Genomic DNA, 24,355 nt, shown 5'->3' with positions numbered 1-24,355 from the left:
ACAATACATATTTTGACATCTGGGGGACTCTTTTACCTCATCATATTACAAACATTTCAGACACCATTGACAATGACACAGAAATTGTCGAATGTAGACAGATGACTGTGTTCTTAAAGCACAGAAGCTGAAAGAGCAGGCAATTTATCATACACTGCAGAGTCAGCACAGCATCTGGGACTGATGGTGAGCTTTGAAAAGTTTGAGATCAAATACCAGTTTACACAAGAGAAATACTGTACCAAGTCCATGAGGTTTCTTAAAAAATGAGAATTGTCATTGGGTTCTGCCTCTTAGGTTAAACATCATCAAGTAATGATTGATGCAGAAGAAGAAAACTGAATTGAGAGGGAGTGAGAAAGGTGAGAAAGGTGCACCAGAACAGGAAGCAGTATTCTTATTTAGAGATTGACATGGCTCCAAGGTAGAGACTTAAGGCAAGTGGCATGATGGTTAAGTATCAGGACTTGGGAGTCAAACTGCCTGGGTTTGGATCCTGGTCTTCTCACTTCCCAACTTACAATTGGGCAAATTAATTTCAACCTATTTAGTAGGATTATAATGATCGTATCATAAGGATTAAATACAGAGATGCATATAATGCATTTAGCATAGTGCCTGGCACTCAGTACATGCGCTAAAAGGTAGTTAGCATGGAGAGGCAGGACAATGCCACCAGGAGTGAAGTTCTAGACTTAGCCCATCTACAAGCATTAAACTATGCTCATCTCAGCCCCTTGATGGGCCAGACTGCTGTTATAATGGAAGTAGAAGTGACATGATCACAAACAGATGAACATTAGAAACTAACGGTGGATTCACGAAAACACAGACTTTAACATAAGACCAAGTGACAGATTGTCATAGATTATTTGGACTCCATGAGGAAAAAAATGTTGGTGGTACATGATTTTCTCAGCCTTACCCACAAACCTGTGACAAATTGTGAAGGTGTCAGGATGATGTCAGGAAATCTGAACTCTCCACAGCTCTGTGCCATCTTTTAGCTCATTTGATTTTAGGAATGTCACTTAACCCTTCCACTTCTTCAGCCAATAAATGAAAATAATAGAATTTTGACCACTTGTTTAATACATTTTGCTAAGAATATAGAAATAATGATATTGAAGTATTTTGGGAAAAATGAGTTTAGGAGATACAGAATCAAAACCATAATTCGAAGGTTTATTAAGAGGTCAATAAATATTCTTTGAATTGAACTTATTGTGGGTATAAATTTACAGATATGCATAAATACAAATATGAGAAGAAGGTAGAGACCTATTTATGCAACCAGAGCTACAGATTGAGAAGCAGATGGCCGGGTTCCAATGCTGACACTGACTAGCTTGGTGACTTTATTTTACTTTACTTTTAATTTTTTTTGTTGAGACAGAGTTGCTCTCTGTCACCCAGGCTGGAGCGCAGTGGTGCAATCTCGGCTCACTGCAACCACTGCCTCCCAGGTTCAAGTGATTCTCCTGCCTCACCCTCCTGAGTAGCTGGGATTACAGGCACGTGCCACCACACCTGGCTAATTTTTGTATTTTTAGTAGAGACGGAATTTCACCTTTTTGGCCAGGCTGGTCTTGAACTCCTAACATCAAGTGATCAGCCTGCCTCAGCCTCCCAAAATGCTGGGATTACAGGCATCAGCCACTGCACCTGGCCTAAAGCCTGGTGACTTTAAACAAGTTAATTAACCCTTCTTCTCTTTAGTTTTGTCAGCTGAGGAACACAGGTGATAAATTCCTCACTCATGGTATTATTTTGAAAATCAAATATAAATGATTGAACAGTTTATGATGTCCTCTAAAAAATACAAATGTCAGTAATTTATATTAATAGGATATTAATGTGAATAATTGTTTTTTTTTGTTGTTTCTTATTTGACACTCATTTTCCTCACCCTGGAGATATTTTAAGTTTCACCCTCTACCAACTTTTATATCTTCCAATATGATTCCTTTCTCACAACCAGCCTGACGAACTCATTTCTTTCACATCAAATGCAACTTTGCTTTCTTCTAAGAACAGCTGGTTTCTTAACAAAATGAGGAGCATGACAGTAACTATAATAGGCTAGTGCTGTACCAGAGTGACATAAAAAGCCTTTTAACAAATTCAACGTGATCGATGATGGAGTCTCTTAATTTAGCTGTGCAGAGAGAGATTGCAACGACTTGGTTGTCTGTCACTGTGTTCAGAGAAAAGCCACTATTCACAAGAGCTATCATGTCCATTATTATAATTTATTATGTAGCCTACTAAGGTTTACTGTCTCTGTTTTTACAGGGAAAGAAGCTAGCCTAAAACAGAAAGCTATATATATATATATATATATATATGCTATATATATATATATATATATGCTATATATATATATATATATGCTATATATATGCAACTGCTTATTAAAATAGAATTATCTAAACACACATACATTCATGTCATTTATTGGATGTAGTACTCCATAGAGATTAATTGTTGCTTTATTTCAAGGGTTTTTAAAAATACTTACATTATTTTCACCCTTTGTTAGTGAAAATACTTTCCTGTAGCTTTCAACCTTACTGCAGAGAAAAAGTTTAAAGTTTATCTCAAAATCTTTCCAAATAATTTCCTAGAATTGTTTAGATTTTTAAAAAATCTCAAATAAGGAAACACCACTATTTCTTTCTCAGTTTTTGTTTATATGTGGTTTGAACTGTTTTCTCAAATGAGAAGCACATTGAGATACAGGGGATGAAATGAATTTGAGATGAATATCAAGCTGCTTCTAGGGAGAAGCTAGGCACTTGTTTCCCTCTGCAACGCTCTCTCCCAGCTTGAACCAATCATTTTCTCTGCATATTTTAGTAAACTGGCATGAATGATGCAAAGCACAGTATGGATTGTAGTCTGAAAGAGATTTCTTTTCATGACTAGTTTATCACCCTCACCTAGAGGGTGAGATGGTGAACTCCCTCTGTGGGTGCTCAGGGGTCCTTCTCTCTAGGCTCACCCAGTGACTGGGACAGCCTAGCCACACTCATCCTACTTTCTGCTGCTTTGTTTTGAGGCTACATCTATAAAATGACCTCTTTTCAGGGATGCTTTATCTGCTGTGCCATCATATCCCTCTAAGGAGAGTGGAGTACATCCTTCAGTGAAAGGGCAGAAGCAGTATTGCCCCAGGAATCTCCCCATGTCAGAAATAACTATTGCATATATTTCTCTTCCATGCTACCAAGAAAGATGTTCCCAGTCTTCCTGCTCCTAGGAAAAGGAAGATGGCTTAGACCACCTACATGTATCAGACACTGGTTTCCTTCACAGAACACAGGCAGGCTTGTTCCTGGCCTGTACTGTCTGGCATGAGAAAAAGATGACTTATTTCCCCCAAACCTGGTGCTGCTAGCCCAATACTTTGCAGGTCTTTTTGTCCACATCATGCTTGATACTTTTCAATGTAACTTACATATTTTTTCTAATTATGAAAGTAATCCATATCCTATCTGTTGTCATCTATCCCAGGGAAAGAATCTGATATGTGGTTGAATATTTACAACTTTATTCATTGCATCATTATTTATATCAAGAAACTGGATATAATATTCGTGTCTCGCCATAGGGTAGTAACATTTAGCCTTTGTTAAAAATGATGTTTTGAAAGTTACAGATGAGCAAAAAAGCTCCCCATACAATGTTAAGTGAAAAAACAAATACAAAATGAAAATACATGACTTAACACCCAGTGTGAACTCAGGTCTAACACCTGTATGTTCATATCTGGCTACATGGAAAAAATGGAAATGAAATATAACAAAATGTTAGCAGTTGCTTTCTCTAGGTGATAGGGATGCTAGGATAATCTTTGTCTCCTCCATAAACTTATTTCCGTTTTCCAGTTTATCTACAATGGTCTTATATTGCTTTTATAGTCAAGAAAAAAAGCTTTAAAACATTTGGATGTTTGTCCTCTACATTGAACCTCATGTTGAAATTTGATCCTAATGTTTGAGGGGGTGCCCAGTGGGCAGCGGTTAGGTCATGGGAGCAGATCCCTCATGAATAGATTAATGCCCTTTGCAGGAGTAAGTGAGTTCTGACTCTATTAGTTCCCACAATAGCTAATTGTTAAAAAGAACCTGCTATTTCTCCTCTCTTTCTCTTGCTTCCTCTCTACCATGTGATCTCTGCACACTCAGCTCTTCTTGGCCTTCTGCCATTAGTGGAAGCAGCCTGAGGCCCTCACCAGATGCCCAGTCTTGAACCTGCCAGCCAGCAGAATAGTAAGCCGAATAAATCTGTTTTCTTTAAAATTACCCAGCCTCAGGTATTCCATTACTGCAATACAAAATGGACTAGGACAAAGTGTAATAAAAAATAAAGTAAAATTACCCATAATCTCACCCTCCAGAGCTAGCGGCCATTAAAAAAAAAACACCTAATGTATTTTCTTCTGATCTTTTTTCCATAGATACAGCACTATACTATACACTTATTTGGGTTATTTTAACTGAAATGGAAAGAATTGAATCAGCCTACCATTGCTGAGCATATGCCACAGGATGAGTGTTAGATGAGAGGTATGAATTTATAGGCTTTCTATAGTGCAAGATCCTCACCATGCTCAATGTCATTCTAGAGTTTTAAGATAGTTGTGTCATTATTGTTATTGTTTTAATATAGCTACTAAACAGAAACCAACTAATTTACTTGCTGTTCAAATAAGAAACAACAATCTGTTCAAATGTTGGACTTACTGATTAATGGTACTACGCTTACTTCACAGTAGATTGAAATAAAAGTGATTTTCCAAAGATTAGTTTGATTTAAAGCAAATTTCAACTTGGATACTGACACACAGTTATGAGTTACACGTGAGCCACAACTCCACCACCTGCAGCAAGGTCTCCTGGATGTGCCCTGGAAGAGTCAGGGATGTGGTGTTGGGCAGCACTTCCTGCCAGGAGGCTCTGGGCTCTGGACAGCCATGGAATGCTCAGGTGAACCCTCAACCTTCACTGCATGCTCAATACTTAAACAGAGTTACAGGGATAAGCCCGGAACTTCTTGAGGCCTAAAAACTCTATAGGAAAAAAATTGAACTCTGTTTAGGATTCAGGATCAGACACCCACAGATGTGTCTTCTGGACTAGTGGGGTTGATAATAGAGGACTTCAGGGAGAGGCAAGAGGCATCCTGAAAAGCCTCTGATAAGGCAGAAGGCTGGCAGGAAAGATAAGACTCAGGGACAAGGCATCGGTATTGCAGGAGCCCATTGGGTCCAGGTTAAATGTGTGTGTGTGTGTGTGTGTGTGTGTGTGTGTGTGTGTGTGTGTGTGAAAACTCATGGACTCAGGGCTTCTCCCTTCTTCTCAGGAGATGCTGATGGCTATGTAGAAGAAGAATTTGATATAAAATAAAGAACCAGACTACTAGGAGCACAAGCCTTATCCTGTAGGAGGAAAAGTGAGAAAGAGAAAGGAGTGAGTGTCAGGACTAACCAGAGAGAGAAACAAAACCACTGACCACCCAGGGAGGGGAGCAGGGAGTTCATGGGCCAGGGACAGCGGATATGAGAAGTCAAGAGCAGAGTGGCACTGCATGGGCACCCCAGGAAGACCAGCCAGTGACCCCCACACACCAGGAGGCTTGGGGCAGGGGCAAGGAAGCCACCTGTGGGCGGCAGAGGTTGGCATCAGCACAGCCACACCAGACACAGGGGCCAAAGGGTGACAAGACAAGGGCACCAAAAAGGGTGGGAGCAGGGAGGGACATCAGATCGGCTGGTGACAATTCGGATCACCCCCTCCCACTCCCTCCATACACTCACATGCACACCACACCCACATCCACACACCACATATATCACATACTTATACATTCGCATATCACACACCACACATACCCTCACACATCATGCACTCTCACATACACACTCACACCCCACATACACTACACACATTTGCAAACTCCTGAAAAGACATGGGATAGGGAAGTACTGAGATTCTGTAATTTGGTGGGAAGGCAGCTCCTATTCCAGCAAGACGACCCTGCTTAGGATATAGACATGAACACAACTGATGAGTCTAGGAAATGATAGGAGGATGAAACTAGACTATGCTTACAGGAGAGGTTCATGACATTTCTATTTGAAAAAGTTACTGTAAATGTGTCTATATTTATGCTCACTCACAGAGGACATGTTTAATATCCACATCCGTCCCTACATCTATACACACACATGCATATGGTAGCAGATACTGTGATTTCCCCCTCCATCCCGATTCCTGCCCACCTTCAAGACAGGACTGAGCGCTCACTGCCCAGCTGCTGAGAGTGTTGGTGGCTAACAGCTCTTAGCTGAGTCCCTCTGTGGACATTACCCTTGGGCTAAAGAGAGCCATTCACCCAAGTTTATGTCCCTGCTATGGTCTGAATGTTTGTGTCCCCAAAATTCACATCTTGAAATATTAACTCCCAGGATGATGGTATTAGGATGTGGGGCCTTCGAAGGGTGATTAGGCCATGAGGGTGGAGCCCTCATGAATGGAATTAGTGCCATTATAAAAGGCCTGAGGGAGCTCATTTTCCTCTTCCACTAAGTGAGGGCAATAGCTAGAAGGTGGCCTCTATGAGGAACAGGTCTTCGCCAGATGTCAAATCTGCAGGTGGCTTGATCTTGGACTTCCCAACCTCCAGAACTGTGAGAAATCAATTTCTCTGGTTTATAAGCCACCCAATTTATATTTTTATTATAGCAGTCTGAATAAACTAAAACAGCCCCCTTTCTAGGCAGCTTAAATATGATAAATTTTTAGTGGAAGGAGATAAAGCCTGGCACTCCTGCCTGTCTTGACTCTTGGAAGGGCCATTCCAGCTAGAGAGCTCTGCGTGGGATCCATGGAGGCCTTTGTTTTTGCTGTATCTTGGTTCAATTTCTTGCTCTGCTCATTCCCCCTTCCTTCAGTCCCCACCACTCTCCATCCCCAGGGGCTCTCACCAACATATTTCATTCACACAAATCGTTGTCTCACAGTATGATTCCTGAAGAGCCTGGTCTGCAACAGTTGCTGCCAGAAGTGGTTTAAGGAAACAGACACCAAATGGGATTGGGAGCTGGAGCACCTGCTGACCAGCGGCCATGAGGTCCCCATGCTAGGGTAGTAGCCCTGGTAGTAGTAGCAGTGTTAACTGTTAAAACTTTCAGTGGTGGTGAGCTTGGATGGGTTTTGGTGGAAGGTAATGAAGTATTAGGTGCAAGATATTAGGGATTTGAGAGGTTGGGAAGTCTTACTACCTAAGGACTATGGAATTGGATGGCTGTTGCTGAGGGCTGTCACAGCTAAGTTTTCAGAAAGACGGTGAAAAGTATTAGCTTCCTATTGCTGGTATAATGCATTGCTATGAAATTGGTGGCTTAAAACAACCCAAATTTATTACCTTAAAATTCTCAAGGTTAGAAGGTCAAAATGTGTTTCAGTGGGCTAAAATCAATGTATAGACAGGGATGCATTCTTTCTGGAGGCATTAGGGTACACTCCATTTCTTTGCCTTTTCCAATTTCCAGAGGCCGCAGGCATTCCTTGGTTCCTGGCTCCCAGGCAGCAATCATATGTTTCCAACCTCTGCTCCCACCATCCAGGCTCCTTCTGTGACCCCGACCCTCCTCCCCGCTTCCATAAGGACCCTTGGTATTACATTGGGCCTACTCGGATAATTCACACTAATCTCCCATCTCAGAATCTTCAACATCTCAACAACTGTAAAATCTCTTTTCTACAGGTTTCAGGGATTTGAATGTGGACATCTTCAGGGGTTATTATTTTGCCTACCACAGTGATTAATCATTAATTAAGGCTAAGTGTGAAAGCCACCGGGCCTCCTTTGTAGCATATAAAGAGACTCTCATCATCTGCAGCCAGCAGACAAGAAAAAACTGAGTAGGCCCACGACCTAATTAGAATACTGTGCGAGCTACAGAGGAGGTTGACTTCTCAGTCAGACCTGCTACACCCAGGCCAGGCCACAGCTGGAAAGGAGTGTGACATGTTACAGGGATATCTGAGTTGATGCATTTGATAATCTTGAACTCCCAGATTCTCTGAGCCCTCTGAACCAGTACAAGTGGCCACTTTTCTCTGCTATAGGCCTGTGCTATACCCTTTATCTGAAGATGATGAGAGATCTCTGCCCTGCAAGGCAGCACATGCTGCCCACGGTGTCTAACCCCATCTTCCTCCCTGGCCACCAGTGACCTAACTAGAGTTAATCACAGTATACTCACTAGGGATGTGTTGTATTCTTTAAGAGAGAAAAAGCATTATACGCAAAAAGAGCTACAGGATGTAGCTATCACAGACCATGTGGAGCCAAGGGAATATGAATGGCTCTGTGTCCTGAGGGTGATTAATGAAGTGGGCTGGAACATAAAAGTCAGATAAGGAAGATTTTATCCAGAGATGGTGCTAAACTCTGCTTCATGCTTCTAGGGCAGCACTTCAAAGCTTGGAGAAAGCAGTGCTCCACACTGAGTGAATTAGATATGCCAAAATACCCATGGCAGAATGTGGAAGAAGAGATCAAACAGTTTGGAGAGCAGGACCTTCTGGAGTGAATGTGCTATGTAAGGGCTGAAAACCTACCTGACAGCTTTGCTCCAGGAGAAAACCTGGAGGACACCCCATACACCAGAGTGATAAGGAATGCACCCCAGAGAGGCTCGGAGGTGACTATCTTCTACAGGCCAGCGCAATGATGGAAGATGGTGTCACAGAACTGTGCTCCCCGACAGAAGCTTGAAATAAAAGAGGCTAGGTGGCAGTGCTTCAATGCAGAAGAAAGTGGGTGCCATTATAAGTGGCAAGATCACGATTTGTAGGCTATGCAAGTGGCTAACTGAACATGGTACACCTCAAGTATGTTAGGTGGTAAAACAAGGGTTGTCTCAATCTATACAACCAAAAAAGAATCAAGGAGGTATGACCAAAAGACTGAAGGCAGTCATCCAAATAAAAAGTTATAATCCCTTGCCCAGTTTCCAGAGCTGAGCCAGTTTCAAACCCATAGTCCATTGTCTGAATAAGAGCTTAGGTCCCCAGGAGAAAGGATCTTTCAATAGTAAGTAGAGCAATGAGTCTCCTGGTTCTTCCTCAAAGAGACATATGGCTACTTACTCAAGTAACCGTACATGGCAAAAGGGAAAGCCAAAAGTTTCAAGCATTGTTGGACACAGGGTCCGCACTGACACTGGGATAGGAAAACTCATCCCAATCCTCCTGTTCGAGTGGAGTATGAGAAATTTGGAGTCTTGGCCAAGATCCAGCTCATAGTAGATTAGGTAAACAGACCTCACCGTGGTAATTTCCCCAGTCCAAAATTGTTTAATTGGAATGAACACAGTTGACAGATGGCAAGAGCCTCACCCTGGTTCCTGAGCTTGTGGGGTGTTCAAGGCTATTGTAGTGTTCAAGGCTAAGTGGAAACCTCTGAAACAGTCCCCAGTCCTCATCCATGCCATCACATATACACACTGTCACCAAACAGTATCACATTTTTTAGAAAAAGCAGAGTTAGTGGCATACTTAAAGGCCTAAAGGATACAGAGGTGGTAAACCCCTTCTCCATTTAATTCACCACTTTGAACAGTTTAAATGAATCCTGTCAACAATAGACAAAAGCAACTTTGTAAATAACCTGAACACTTCAGTTTAACCAGTGGTAACTTTGCCCTCCTACCTATTGGTTAATTTTTATAGGTCAAATATCAGTGTCATATATTCTCCACATAAATTATTAACTTTATGAATTTAAGACTATGGAGAAACCAAGTCACCTGGTCTCATGAAAATAAAATTTGACATGATATCTCCATATCAACTAGAAAAATAGATTTATCAGTCCACTTTACTGTAATCTACTCTATTTTCACACTTTTTAAAACAGAAATTTTTCATTTCTTCAAAGTGGCTATTTCCAATTTTACTTGAGGACACAAGACTAATTTATATTCTAGGAGAAGCTGTCTAACCAGATGCTATCATAATTATGGAAATGGAAACAATGGGAGTAATTAAGTCTTCAAGAAAATGTATGGACACAGAGAGTGCAGGGATACAAGAGCCACAGAGAAGAGAAAATAGCCCATCAGATTGCAACTTTTTAAAATCGTACTTTAAATTTTATCTTTTGAGGAAAAACCCCTCAAAAATCTTAAAAATCTTTAATGATTTGGTATCAATGTCCTTACAGCCTATGTAAGTCACAGAACAGTGATTATGAGCCATCACTTTGGAGTCACAGACCTAGATTTATCTCAGCTCTACCATTTAGTAGCAAGATACTTAAATTTTATGGTCCTCAGATTTCTTTTATTTTCTTTTTTTAGAGACAGAGTCTCACCCCATTGCCCAGGCTGGAGTGCAATGGCACCATCTCGGCTCACTGCAACCTCCGCCTCCTGGGTTCAAGCGATTCTTCTGCCTCAGCCTCCCGAGTAACTGGGATTACAGGCGCATGCTACCACGCCCAGATAATTTTTTTTTTTTTGTAACTTTAGTAGAGACAGGGTTTCACCATGTTGGCCAGGCTGGTCTCGAACTCCTGACCTTGTCGTCCACCCACCTCTCTCTCCCAAAGTGCTGGGATTACAGGCATGAGATAATGTTTGTAAGTACTTAGCACAATGTCTGTACATAAGAAGTGTCCAACGAAAAGTTAGCTATGGTTGATGAAATTATTCTGATGATGACAATGATTCTCTAGAATGAGGTTAAGAGTTTCTAGTCAGCCAGGTGCAGTGGCTCACACCTGTAATCCCAGCACTTTGAGAGGCCGAGGCGGGCGGATCATCTGAGGACAGGAGTTCGAGACCAGCCTGGCCAACATGGTGAAACCCTGTATGTACTAAAAATACAAAAATTAGCTGGGCGTGGTGGTGCGTGCCTATCATCCCAGCTATTCAGAGGGCTGAGGCAGGAGAATCACTTGGACCTGGGAGGCAGAGTTGCAGTGAGCTGAGAAAGCGGCACTGCACTCCAGTCTGGGCCACAAGATCAGAAAAAAAAAAAGGAGTTTCTAGTCCAAGTGTTTTTCAACTAAATAAAAGAAATCAAGCTTTTGATTTTAATTACTAAAAACCATATCATTCCTTTTTCATTTGCAGGAAAATTGCAGAAAGTAAACTTCTAATGCAAGATTTAAAGCAGTTATATGAGAGGAATAGGAATTCCTTGCTGAAACAACATTGTGTAGTAGAAACATTAGCAACTATTTCTCTTATAAATGATTCTATTTGGCCACCTCATAAACTGTAATGCTGTGACAAAAATTGTCATGGAAATCTTTTCAGTATTTCCACATGGGCTCTGTAGCTTTCAACTTTATATAAAAGATTATTGAAGCCAATAGGAATTGGGATTTGAGAAAGTGTTCTTTGGATCCTAAAGGAAGATAATATTTCTTTTCATGGGGAATGAAAATCTATCTTGAGTGGGCAAAATCTAACTGCTGATGGTTGAGGGCTGAATTTGAGAACTAAACACATTTAAAAAAAATTATTGTGACTTACAATTTTTTTTTTTTTAATAGATGGAGTCTCGCCCTGTCACCCAGGCTGGAGTACAGTGGTGCGATCTCAGCTTACTGCAACCTCTGCCCCCCGGGTTCAAGCCATTCTCCTGCCTCAGCCTCCTGAGTAGCTGGGATTATAGGCACCAGCCACCATGCCCAGCTAATTTTTTTTTGGTATTTTTTAGTAGAGACAGTTTCACCATGTTGGCCAGGCTGGTCTTGAACTCCTGACCTCAGGTAATCCACCGCCTTGGCCTCCTAAAGTGCTGGGATTACAGGCGTGAGCCACCGTGCCCCTGCCTGGGACATATAATTTAAATACACAACAATACAAAAACAACTAGCCACCACCCAGGCCAAGAGATAAAATTATTACCTGGGAAACATCAGATCAGGAAAGAGAAGATTGCCCTAGAACCTGTTCATATCCTGTCTCAATCATAACACCACACCTTTTCCTCCTGGAGAAAACTATTAATCTGATGTTCATTCTTTCAGCAGAAGATATGATGGTTTGCTCTTAATCCTAGTTGGCCATTTCTGGAAATGGAAGGTCTGGATTAATTTTGGAGATCCTTCTTAAATCTTATCATTAGCAGCGGTCAATATGAATACACTCCTGTATGGCTCTCTAACAAAATAAGAGAGAGCTAAGTTGAACTGAAGGCCAAGGACCTCCTTTGGACATTAGACAAAACTCAGTTGACTTGAATGAAGAGAAAAAAACTTGAAAAAAATTATATAATATTCATAAATCTCCCCCCACCCCAGATAAAGTCTAGTAGCTTAGGGAATTATTCATGGCTTGCTCTTTCCTTGAAACTGTCTGATATTAATAAAACCTCCTTCCCTCCCTCTCCTCTCCTGTGCCTCTTCAAATCTCACTCACTCACTCACTCACTCACTCACACTCAGCAATTCTTCAGGGAGCTCTAGCTACTTACTGAATTTTACTTCTGAATTTCAAATTCCATTATAAACAAAGACCCCTTTTCCTATTGATTTTTGTCCCAGTTTTCTGGAAGCTCTAAATGATTCTTGGCTTCGCTACATCAATTTCAGTGTACTCTCTTTTTTTCTCCCCCTCCTTGGAGCTTTTTAAAACAAATCTGTATAATTGTGTCTACTGACTCCTTTAGCATAAAGACTTCATTCTAGTCTTTAAAGCCACCCAATGATTTTAGAAATGTTTTCTTTAGATTTTTGTTGGCTCTTTATTTTTAAAGCAAGTAAAAACAAACAATTCAAATATTTAATTTATTTTTATTAACAAGAAGACCCAGAAAAGAAAAAATCCTTCCTTCCTGAGAGGAAAAGGTCTAAGTGACAATAACATTATTGCTTCAAACATAATTTCTTAAAATATAAGACTAGCCTTTCTTAAGAGACAAGTATACTCAAAGCAGTCCTATTCAGCTGCACTGTGTTAGATGAAATGTATCTCTCCTTCTCTCCAAGATCAATCTAATACCATGCACAAAAGGAAAACCAAGTCCACGTAGACAAAAAGGGAATTTTTCAGAGGGAATTTTGAAACATTAGAGGTTCTGTTTCTTGTTGTAAGTATATGAAACATTATATGTTCTGTTTCTTGTTATATATATTATATATATATTATATATAGAGTCTGGAATATATACATTATGTTGGTGCAAAAGCAACTGCAGTCTTTACCATTAAAAGTAATTGGAAAAATCACAATTACTTTTACACCAACCTAATATTTACAACAAGAAACAGAACATCTAATGTTTCAAAATTTCCTCTGGAAATGGCCACACAGATCCTTGCAGTGGTTGCTTATGATCATAGACAATGGTCAATGTGTCAATTCTACTTTCCATGAGAAAAGAAAAATCATTGTTTGGGTATGTCCAAGGTTCTAGCCCATAAAAGAGATGTTCTGATAGCTTCCCAGAAGAAAAGAAGTCAGATTTGAAAGGCACAATAATGTTCACCACAGTATTTTTTAAAAATCAATAAATCCTGGAAGCAATTTAAAAAATCCATTCATAGGCCAGGCATGGTGGCTCGTACCTGTAATCCCAGCTACTAAGGAGGCTGAGCCAGGAGGATCACTTGAGGCCAGAAGTTCAACACTAGCCTGGGTAACATTGTGAGTCTCTAGTCTATAGAAAAAATCAAAATCAAAGAATAAAAATCCATTAATACAAAATTGATTAAATAAACTGTAGCCTAGCCATATATTCCAATACTGTGTAACTCTTTGATAGATGATGTATATCTATATTCATAGGCAGAGAAAGATTTATATAACATGGTGATTTAAAAGCAGATTATGAAATAATTTAGATAATTCTATTTGTTTGAATTGTGTGCTTCTATATACATATGTGTATGCATAGAGAAATACTTAGAAAGATGTTCCCTCACAAGTTCAGGATGCCTAGCTCTGGGTGGTAGGATTAAGAGTCATGTTTACTTTCTTCATACTGTTTTGAATTTCTTTGTGTGTGTGTGTGTGTGTGTGTGTGTGTGTGTGTGAGATGGAGTCTTCCTCTGTTACCCAGGCTGCAGTGCAGTGGCGTGATCTTGGTTCACCGTAACCTCTGCCTCCCCGGGTTCAAGTGATTCCCCTGCCTCAGCCTCTGGATTAGCTGGGATTACCGGTACCCACCACCACACCTGGCTATATTTTTTTGTATTTTAAGTAGAGACGGGGTTTTACCATGTTGGCCAGGCTGCTCTCAAACTCCTGACCTCAAGTGATCTGCCCACCTTGGCCACCCAAACTGCTGGGATTACAGGCGTGAGCTACCACGCCCAGCCTGTTTTGAGTTTCTTTAAGGTTAAAATTAACTGATTGTTTCGTGACATAGATTTCACAAATATTGCAGTCCGCAAAGGAGTACCTATATGGATTTGATTTTCTCCACAAGCACATATTATACATAAAAATCAGGAAAAAATAGTGAAGTTGCTTTATTTTAGAAAAGAAATATCTAGCTAATTGATACAGTTCTTTATTTTGTTTCAATATTACCAAATTGGCTGTAAAGTAAGATACAGGGATTTAGTGGAAGAATTGCCTTCAGTGTGGACAATGGACAATGGACAATGTCCTAGATAAGCTTATGTACTTCAATTTGTCCAGAAATATTTTACAGCAAATTTTGACTTGGGTATTTCTAAAAAGTATTTTAAAATTTGCATTAAATATAAAAGACAAAATGACAATGAAACAGTTAATTATTACTTGATATTTCTAGAACTATATTATTGATAGATTGTAGCCTTAGCAGAAACTTAGTATTAAAAATGTAAAAAGCACTTTGACTTTTTGTCCTCTTGATTGTTCTATGAAACTATTTTGAAAGACAGCCAAGCATGTGTTCAACACATGTTTTATACTAGAAATGTTTTGCCATAATCATAAACTGATTGAATAACCATGATAATTTCAGTGTTCTTTTGTCCATATGCTTCAACGTTTTGTTCATTTGCTTGAAATATGTACTTTGTTTTTAGCTAAAATCAGGTTCCTATGTGTTGAAAATAAAGAGCTGTAGATTTCTATGGCCATATTGTTGTAACATGAGATCTGTAAAAGATTATGGAAATAAGTTAATAACCACTTGGCATCAAGTGAAAAGAAAGCTATATATGGAATACGTTTTTATAGTAAGAACATTTGATTTTGGTCAAATCCATGTCAAAGAAGAACAAGAATTAATTTTAACTTTGGTATGCCCAGAATATGGACAACCAAATTATCTTAATTGGAAACATATTTTCACATTCAGAATTGCTTACTCTCAGGCACAGAGTTTCCATTTCAAACCTTGCAGCCTCATACGGCAAACCCCTCATTTATCTGAAAACCTCAACTATCCAGATTACCATTGGGAATCAGGAACAAAGTAAAAACAGGCTCCTGAGCACCAAAATAGAAGTCACAAATCCTCCCTGCACATCAGCCCTTCTCTTAGAAGTCTGTAGTAGATTAAGAGCCACAAATTCAGAAAGGAGTCTTAAAAGTCAAACTGAAAATAGTACAAAGTAGTGACTCTTGACATCATGACAGTCAGGGGAATAGCAAAGCCACGCAACAGGCATCATAATCTGGGGCCATTTCATTTAGGATCAACACTCTCTTTAAGGGTGGTAGTGATGACTACAAAGTACAATCATGGATACTGATGATTTGCCCCCCAAATACATATCTTCCAACTGTGTTTCTTGGTTTGTGCCTCCTATGGTTCTCAGTGCTCCAGTGGATTTTGGCTGTGACTTGCTGCTTATGAAGTACACGGACAGTAGTTCTAAAGGGAAGAATCATCCAATTATCTACCCTCGTCAGTTATCCTCCTGTTATCCTCACTGCTGGTATCTCTATGAATTAATAGGATAGAAATATCAAGAACACAGTTTCAGTGCATAGTAACTTACAAGTGAAAATAAGGCTAAAACAAGTGTATATGTGGCCTAGAACATTTTCATATTTATAATGTAAGACATTTCTAGGTTTTCTTATGGAAAAAATTCAGTCAACTAGGATATAACCAGTTTTTAAATATAGCTCACTAAATTATACTGTGATTTTTGTGCATGTATTATTAGGTTCCACTAAGAGAAAGGGGATTTGGGTGAGTTTGCTTTCTTTTTTTTCCCCTGAGATGGAGTCTTGCTCTGTCACCCAGGCTGGAGCGCAGTGGCATGATCTTGGCTCACTGCAACCTCCGCCTCCTGGGTTCAAGCAATTCTCCTGCCTCAGCTTCCCGAGTAGCTGAGATTACAGGTGCCCGCCACCGAGCCCGCCTAATTTTTGTATTTTTAATAGAGACGGGGTTTCACCATGTTGGCCAGGCTAACTCCTGACCTCGTGATCTGCCCACCTAGGCTTCCCAAAGTGCTGGGATTACAGGCGTGAACCACCACACCCGGCCTGGATAAGTTTGTTTTCTAATCAGCAAAGGCAAGTTGAGAAAATGAAGCAGGGATCCTGTCTGGACTTTGCAAACAAGACTTTCTTGTTTAGAAATCACAGAAAGTAGAGGTGAAAGCTATTATTACCATCATTACACTCAAAAGAGCTCACAGACAGCAGGGGCATCTCCCTGAACATGAAGTTGTGCCCTCCTGACCTCCCTGTGTTAGCCACAAATGACAAAGCAAGAGCATATGGGAACTGGTCAAATAAAACTTACAAAAAAAAAATAAATGAGTAGTCACAACAGATACTCTTTCCTTGAGGAATTTTTTTTTTTAAGTACGTGTCTTTTTTACAGAAAAAAGTGAAATTTAACTTAAAAGTGCATTTTGTGGGGTTGAAATTTTATAATGGAAATGTTTAGTGATTGCCTTCTTAGCAATTGCCTTCTGCTGTTGCAGGGGAGGATAGCAACATCTTTCTTTTTATAAACTGGGAATTCCTAGCAAGTGCTAACAAAAGCAATCTCTTTCTCACTTTGCTCTTGTGTGGGTTGCATAACCCTGGATTAAGTGATCAAGTACTACAGCCTGTCTTGGTAAGAGGTGAAACGTGGGTTTCACATGCCTTGGTTTTTATATTGAGGATCAGTTTGGAGCTTACAACAGCCTTGATCAAAATCATATTATTAATTTTTTGGATGAAAATACTACATTCTGAATATTAAGACATTTTTACAGAAAGTAATAAAATAATGAGTGCGAAGAGCAGCCTCTAGCATGTAGAGCAGGCAAGAGTGCTGAGTGAGTAAGACTTACAAGCATCAGAGTGCGCTAGAGAAAACCTACACATGGCTATATTTTTCTTTTCTTCTTTTGAGACAGAATCTGACTCTATTGCCCAGGCTGGAGCACAATGGTGCGATCTTGGCTCACTGCAACCTCCACCTCCTGGGTTCAAGCGATTCTTCTGCCTCAGCCTCCCAAGTAGCTGGGACTACAGGTGTGCGCCACCACGCCCAGCTAATTTTTGTATTTTTAGTAAAGATGGGGTTTCACCATGTTGGTCAGGCTGGTCTTGAACTCCTGGCCTCAGGTGATCCATCCACCTTGGTCTCCCAAAGTGCTGGGATTACAGGCACGAGCTACCGTGCCTGGTCAGGGCTATTTTTTCTGAATATACTTTTCTCCTTGCTTCCCATTACTTAAGCTGCCTTTTCTCCCCAGTGGGGCAACACTGAGGCTGTCAGACACGCTGAGATGACCAAGAGTTTCACAGTAGGCACTTATTCCTGATATGAATTCTGTCCCTGAAAGCAAGCCGGAGTCGGGGTGCAGAGAAAACAGAAACAGAAGAAGAAAAAAGGACAAGAAGTAACAGGAAAAGAATGCGTAAGTTATATTCTGAAAAGTATATTCTGAAATGTAACCGTTCAGACTAACAGTGTTGAATATCAATTCACAGTGATCAAAAGTCCTTTTAAAATTATTGATGCTTGAAATGCTAATTCCAGATTCCATTAGCATATATTTGTAAATATTATTTATACCAGATTTGTCAAGTACACTATTTCCTGCTTCAATAGTCAGAAAAACATTAATGAGGACTTGCAGTACTTCTCTGAATTAATTTTTTTTCTAATTTGTATTTCTCAGAAACAATTAGTTTCCCTGAGCACACATCCCAACTCTCAGAACTCTCAACTAGCTCACTCCTCTTCCTCATCCTCCAGGTCTTCCTGCTTAGATGTCACTTCTTCTAGGAAGATTCCCTGAATCCTCAAGTCTGGACACAGATTCTAAGGGCACGCTTCCTTAGCAACCTGCTCTTAGCCTGTCTGAGCCCTAGCACGCTGTGTTGTAATGTGCTGTCCACTGGTCTCGATTGATCCTCAAACTCTAAGCTCCCTGAGGACAGGAAAGTGATAGTTACGAGCCTGGGCTTTGGAATAATAAAAAGCACATCGTAGTACATCCTATAAGCCAAGTGTAATTCCGATTATTTTACATATAATAACGCACCTAATCTTAACATCCACGTAGGAAATTGGGGCAGAAGCAGGTTATCTTTCCCAAGGTCACATAGCCAGTAAGTGGCAGATCCACAATTTCAACCCTGGCCATTGTTTGCAGAGACCATGCCCTTTCTTGTAATAAGGTGTTGCCAATCAGAGCGGCTTCGTTTCTAGAAAATGTTAGCTACTTAATGACTCAGTTGACCAGGAGTAATTACTTGTTCTAAGTGAATCTCATTTTTCTCATCTAAAAAGTGGGAATAAATAACAGTATTTACATCAAGGAGTTGAGAAGCTTCCATGAGATAGTGCACCTTATAGAAAGTAGATAGTGTACTCAGCATAGTACTTGCCATATAATAAATACTCAATAATTATTTGTCTGCTGACATTTTGGGTTTATCCTATTCTTGTTCTTCTCATTCTCTTCCCTTTCCTCCTCCTTTTTTTTTCTTTCTCTTCTCCTCACTCTTCAGCATTGTGTCTGAGCAGAGGGTTGACATATAGTGGACATTAACAAACATCTCATGAATGAAGGGGTAAAAGAATGGATGAGTGAATGAATGAATGAAACAGCAGGCAGACTTTCTCTAAAATCAATTTGCATCTATCTTCCTTAGCTCTTCATCATATATCTTCCTCTACAGCAGACAGAGGGAGACATCTGCAGCCCTAGATTGCTGGCCTGTTGGGCAGTGACACCATTTCTCCTTCACGACAGCTTGAATTTATACAAAATCTTTACTCTTTTGAAGTCCATAGTTCTAAAATAGCGTCAACATTTTTAAGCTGCCAGATTTTATTGGGCTAAACATGATTAGCAGACATTCCTCGCTGAACACACCCAAAGGTTAAACACAAGCCAGAAACCAACACCAGATGCAGGTCAGGAATTCCTGAATCAAATTCTTCAGTGAAGGAAAAATGATAAAATCTCAGGTCTTCTCATTCTTGACAAGTACTCCTACATTTTCTTGACTAGTGTTTGTTCTTAGGGGCAATTTTTGCGTAAGAGGAATTTCCTATAAAGTGGGAATTTCACTGCTTTATATTTTTTACTACTCCAAAGGAATTTCACAAAACATGTCATTTCCTTCCACAATTGATGGGTAAGATTCCTACATCATTCACACCTGTGCCTGTGTTTCCCTGTGCATCTGGTACAGAGATGGGCATAAGGAGCACCTGTCTTGGAGAGATAGCATGGGGGAATTGGGTCATCTCAGCTGTTTTCAACTGGGGTTTTGCCAGTTCCTCTTTGTCTTTTAGTTCCCTTTGTTGCCCCTGTTTTTCATATGGTTATGCTGCTGTTGTTTCTTGTTATGGTTGTTGGTGGTGGTTTGGTGTTGGGGAATATGTAGTTCCTGGCATTCTTTTTTGGCTTCTGAATCCTAAATAACAAGCCAAAAGGAATTCAAGTTTGTGTAGGGACCACAGGTCTCTTAGGAAAGTCCCTCCCCAGATGGCTTTTCTTGTCCAGGGGGAGCATTCAGAGCCACTGGCAGAGACCGCTCTCGGCAATAAGCATGTTGTTGCTCCTATCAACAACGTTAATGAGCCAGAAATGAATTCTGTGTTTCCAGTAGCTTCTTTGGCATTTTAAATGGGTCGATTCCTTTCAGAAGAGTTCATGTGTTTTAATTCATATTTTGCGTATTACTAAAGAAATTTAAGATTTGCCTTCAGTTTTAGTTTAATTTTTTGGATCCATCCAGAGCCTTGAAAATATGAAGGCAATAGAACTTCTGGAAAAAAAGAAAGAAAGAAGTCATTGCGAGTCAACTTTAAACGTATCAGGTTCATGGAAATTCTTTTTTTTTTTTTAAACCAGTGGAGTATTTTAGAGTAAATACCTCTGCTGTTTTAACAAAAAATCTGTTATCTTTTTTACAAAAAAATCTGTATCGTTATCTAATAAAAACTCAAGCAATTTTCAAACTCTTCACCAATATGTAGAGTTTAAATTGCTTTTTATTATAGAAAATAAAACTTGATTAGATTAATTAAATTAATTGTTTAATTAAACCACAGTTGATGACTTCAACTTGATTTATTGATGTAAATAAATGGGCCATGGGCCAGACCTATGCTAAATTTAAAAATATACCTTAAAAATTAAGTTTAGATAAAAATAATAAAGTTGTGGAAATTGCAAAAAATAAAAACCGTGTCCAAAGACATTCTCTGGAACATGGTTAGTCACAAAGTGCAACGCTTTACTGTACTATGGTTGAGTGCAGACAAATCTCTTAGAAAAGTAAAGTTTCCTGAAATTGGAACTATATTATGGAGAAGAAATTTATAGAATGAAACCTCTTCAGGGTATGTAAGAAATGTACAAAACTTCTGTTTACGTTAAATAGTGTCTAAAAGAAGTGCTAGCAAGTGAATAAAAACACAAAAACTTTAAGCAAACAAATTGAAATATTACTGCATCTGTTCCTGAATAAGTGTTGTGTGTCTTTGGCTGGAAACCTGATCCCTGGACAGTATGTAGGGATAACAGATGTGGCTCTTGAGCAAGAAGAGACATGCTGGAAAGGGCACAAAGGTGAGACCTCCAGCGAAGTCTTGATATTTATAGCATGGGCTTCTATAAGCCACCCGACTCCTCCTTGACACACACACACTTTTTTTTTTCCTTCTATGACTTGCAAACATTTGGAGTCTCTTAATCTCCAGTTCCTATTAATTCCTATCTGTTGTTATCCTTCTCTTAATTCACATTCTTTCTGTTAAAGGTCTATGTATTTATTTGAATATTTTTCTATAGCCTTTTAATTTGGGACTTGTTTTATGCAGTAACTTAACTTTTTCTCTCTTCTCAACTTCCATCCTGTTGGTCGCAGAATCTCAGTGTTGCAAGGGGTCATTAAAGAGATCTACTTGAAACTCCTGCTCAGTGAGGGCTTCTTGGCTTATTATATCCCTAAAGAAGAGTGTTAGGATTTGGCTTCGTTGCTTAGAGAAGTGAAAACTCCCTCAACTGCAGGCCCACCCAAATCTCTGTTGGAAAATCCTGTGTGTCCACTTCTCCTGTTTTCGTTTTCCTTTTAGTCTTTTTGTGGTCTACTACGTGGTTTCCTAAGGTAATATTTTTCATTATGTTATTGGCCATGTCCCTTTCTTTCTCCAACGTTTTCCCATTTCGTTCTCCACCACCCCTTTTAAAAGATTTTAGAGGCCGGGCGTGGTGGCTCAAGCCTGTAATCCCAGCACTTTGGGATGCCAAGGCGGGTGGATCACCTGAGGTCAGGAGTTCTAGACCAGCCTGGGAACATGGCGAAACCCTGCCTCTACTAAAAATACAAAAATTAGCCAGGCTTGGTGGTGTACGCCTGTAATCCCAGCTACTCGGGAGGCTGAGGCAGGAGAATCGCTTGAACCTGGGAGGCGGAGGTTGCAGTGAGCCGAGATCCGAGATTGCGCCACTGCACTCCAGCCTGGGGAATGGAGACAGAGCAAGACTTGGTCAAAAAAAAAAAAAAAAAAAAAAAAAAGAACCTAGAAGTCAGCGGAAGATGGGAGGAGTCTGAGAAACAGCCCCGCCAGACCCAACCCAACCTACCCCCTAGACCCCACTGCACATTAATGCACATTAACCTTCACCTTGAGTGATAAATAAGCACCTGTAGTCTACTGAGAAGATGAGATTTAGGGGATGTTTGTCACAATGGTTATCCTACCCCTGATTAATACAGAAGGTTACTGAAAGTCCACTAGGAAGTGGATGAAGGGACATGTTCCTGAAGATAGTGAGGATTGCTAAGAAGCACATCTATGGGACCAAAGACATAGGAATCCAAATAGGAGCATTTAGTCCTTAATAGGCTAGGAAGCCTGCTGCTTCCAGGTTCCAGCTCCCCGCTGAAGGGCAGATGAGCAGCTGCGGATGTATATAGGAGATCTTCTACACAAAATTGTTCCATGCAGCTGTGCTTTTCCTGCCCAAGTGGAGAGGAGCACATAAAGGGAAAGCCCATCTGCTTGGGGACCGTTAACGTGCCTCTGGGTTCCTAGGTAACACATACCTAAAGAGGGAAGCAGAGAGACTATAACGGTGAGACCTAATTCAGCTTTAGAATGGGGTCTGAAATCCATGGCCCCCTACTGAGATACACAATTCCAAGTCAGAACTTTTTGTTTTAGTAGTTTAGTACTGCTGAAATGATAGGAGTGTTACAATTCTGGCTTACATTGGCCTTAAATTAGTGATAAGTTGTTCTAACCACAAATGTTGTCTTTTCTGTAAAGACTTAAAATTGTTGTTACTTTCTTGAGTGATGCTTAGTGTGGAGGCAACTCTACAGAGGGTTTCTAAGGATTTGGCAATTTGTTGAGATCATTAGGAATAAGGGAAGAAATGGCATAATAGCCAGCGCATTACTTTGGACTTTTTGTTGTACTCATTATGGGGTTGTCTGTAATGTAGTAATTTAATACAGAATGTTTTAATGTTAATGATGTTATTTCCTGGGTATTTGCCCAAAATGAGCAAGTTGGTTCTTACATGGTTTCGGTTTCACAAATGAGACTCAAAATGGTAGGAAAGTGAGCACTGTGGCCCTGGTGAATTTTGGTCCTAAGAAAGGCAGAATGCACCACAGGGTGACAATTCCAGCATCTAATTCCATCCCAGTGGCACAATGACTAGAAGTAGTATAGACCTCAATTTATACAAGGAAAGTTTTTTTTTTTTTTGCTTTTTTTTGCTTTTTTTTGTGGGGGGGGGCGGGGTCAGGGTCTTGCTCTGTCACCCAGGCTAAAGTGCAGTGGTGCCATCATAGCTCTCTGCAGCTTCAAAGTCCTGGGTTCAAGCCATCCTCCTGCCTCAGTCTCCTGTATAGCTGGGATTACTGGCTAATTTTTAAATTTTTTGTAGAGATCGGGCTCTCACTATGTTGACCAGGCTGGTCTTAACTCCTAGCCTTAAGCAGTCCTCCCATCGCAGCTTCCCAAAGTGTTAGGATTACAGGCATGAGCCACTGCACTTGGCCCAAATAAAGTCCTTTGAGTAATTTATTTTAAAATATATGCTCTGCCTCTTTAAATAAAATGAGGAAGAACAAAACAAAGACATGCATTAAAAGGTTAATAAAAGAGAAATAAATAATCAAGACCAAAGAAAGAGAGTTTCCATAAGATAAGCACAATGACTTCATAATGGCTGCTATGGTCGAGTCAGATTTGGCTCTGAGCATCTGGCACTGAAAACAAAGAAGATTTGGTAAATTATAAAATCAAGTTCTACTCAATGGAGCATTCACTGGCCTCCTACTCTAAAAGAAAGTTTGAATCTGGAACTTCCTTTGGGCATCATTGGATAACACAATAATCTTCTTACATACAATTTTATTAAAAACAAAAATTTAAAAACCCACACCAGACTTTGTCAAGGAATATACATAATTGCAATTCAATGAAAGTAACCTGGGGAGGGGAAATTCTAGTGATTCCACCACCTAAAACTTTTCCCAAGACAAGCCCACTAAAATACACATTAAACCATACCCACTGTTTTCTTTTATGATATCTGAAGCAGAGTTTGACTTAAATAACTGTTTATTTAGAATATGATAGCAAATACAATTTTAAATAATCCATGGAAGTTCATTGATACAATTGGAAGTGTTATTGAAGCCCAGGCTATGTTTAATTGCTTAGGCACTGTCTGTGGAGAAATACACAGAGATTCATTGGAAATGACGTATCAGTACTCTATTTCTTTCATTTTTCTTAACTTTTATTTTAAGTTCAGGGGTACATGTACAGGTTTGTTATATTGGTAAACCTGTGTCATGGGGGTTCGTTGTATAGAGTATTTCATCACTCAGGTATTAAGCCTAGTACCCATTCGTTATTTTTCCTGATCCCCTCCCTCCTCCCACTCT

Source organism: Homo sapiens, chromosome 18, assembly GCF_000001405.40.
Source record: "Homo sapiens chromosome 18, GRCh38.p14 Primary Assembly".
NCBI lineage: Eukaryota > Metazoa > Chordata > Mammalia > Primates > Hominidae > Homo > Homo sapiens.
Note: the sequence above shows the minus strand (reverse complement) of the source record.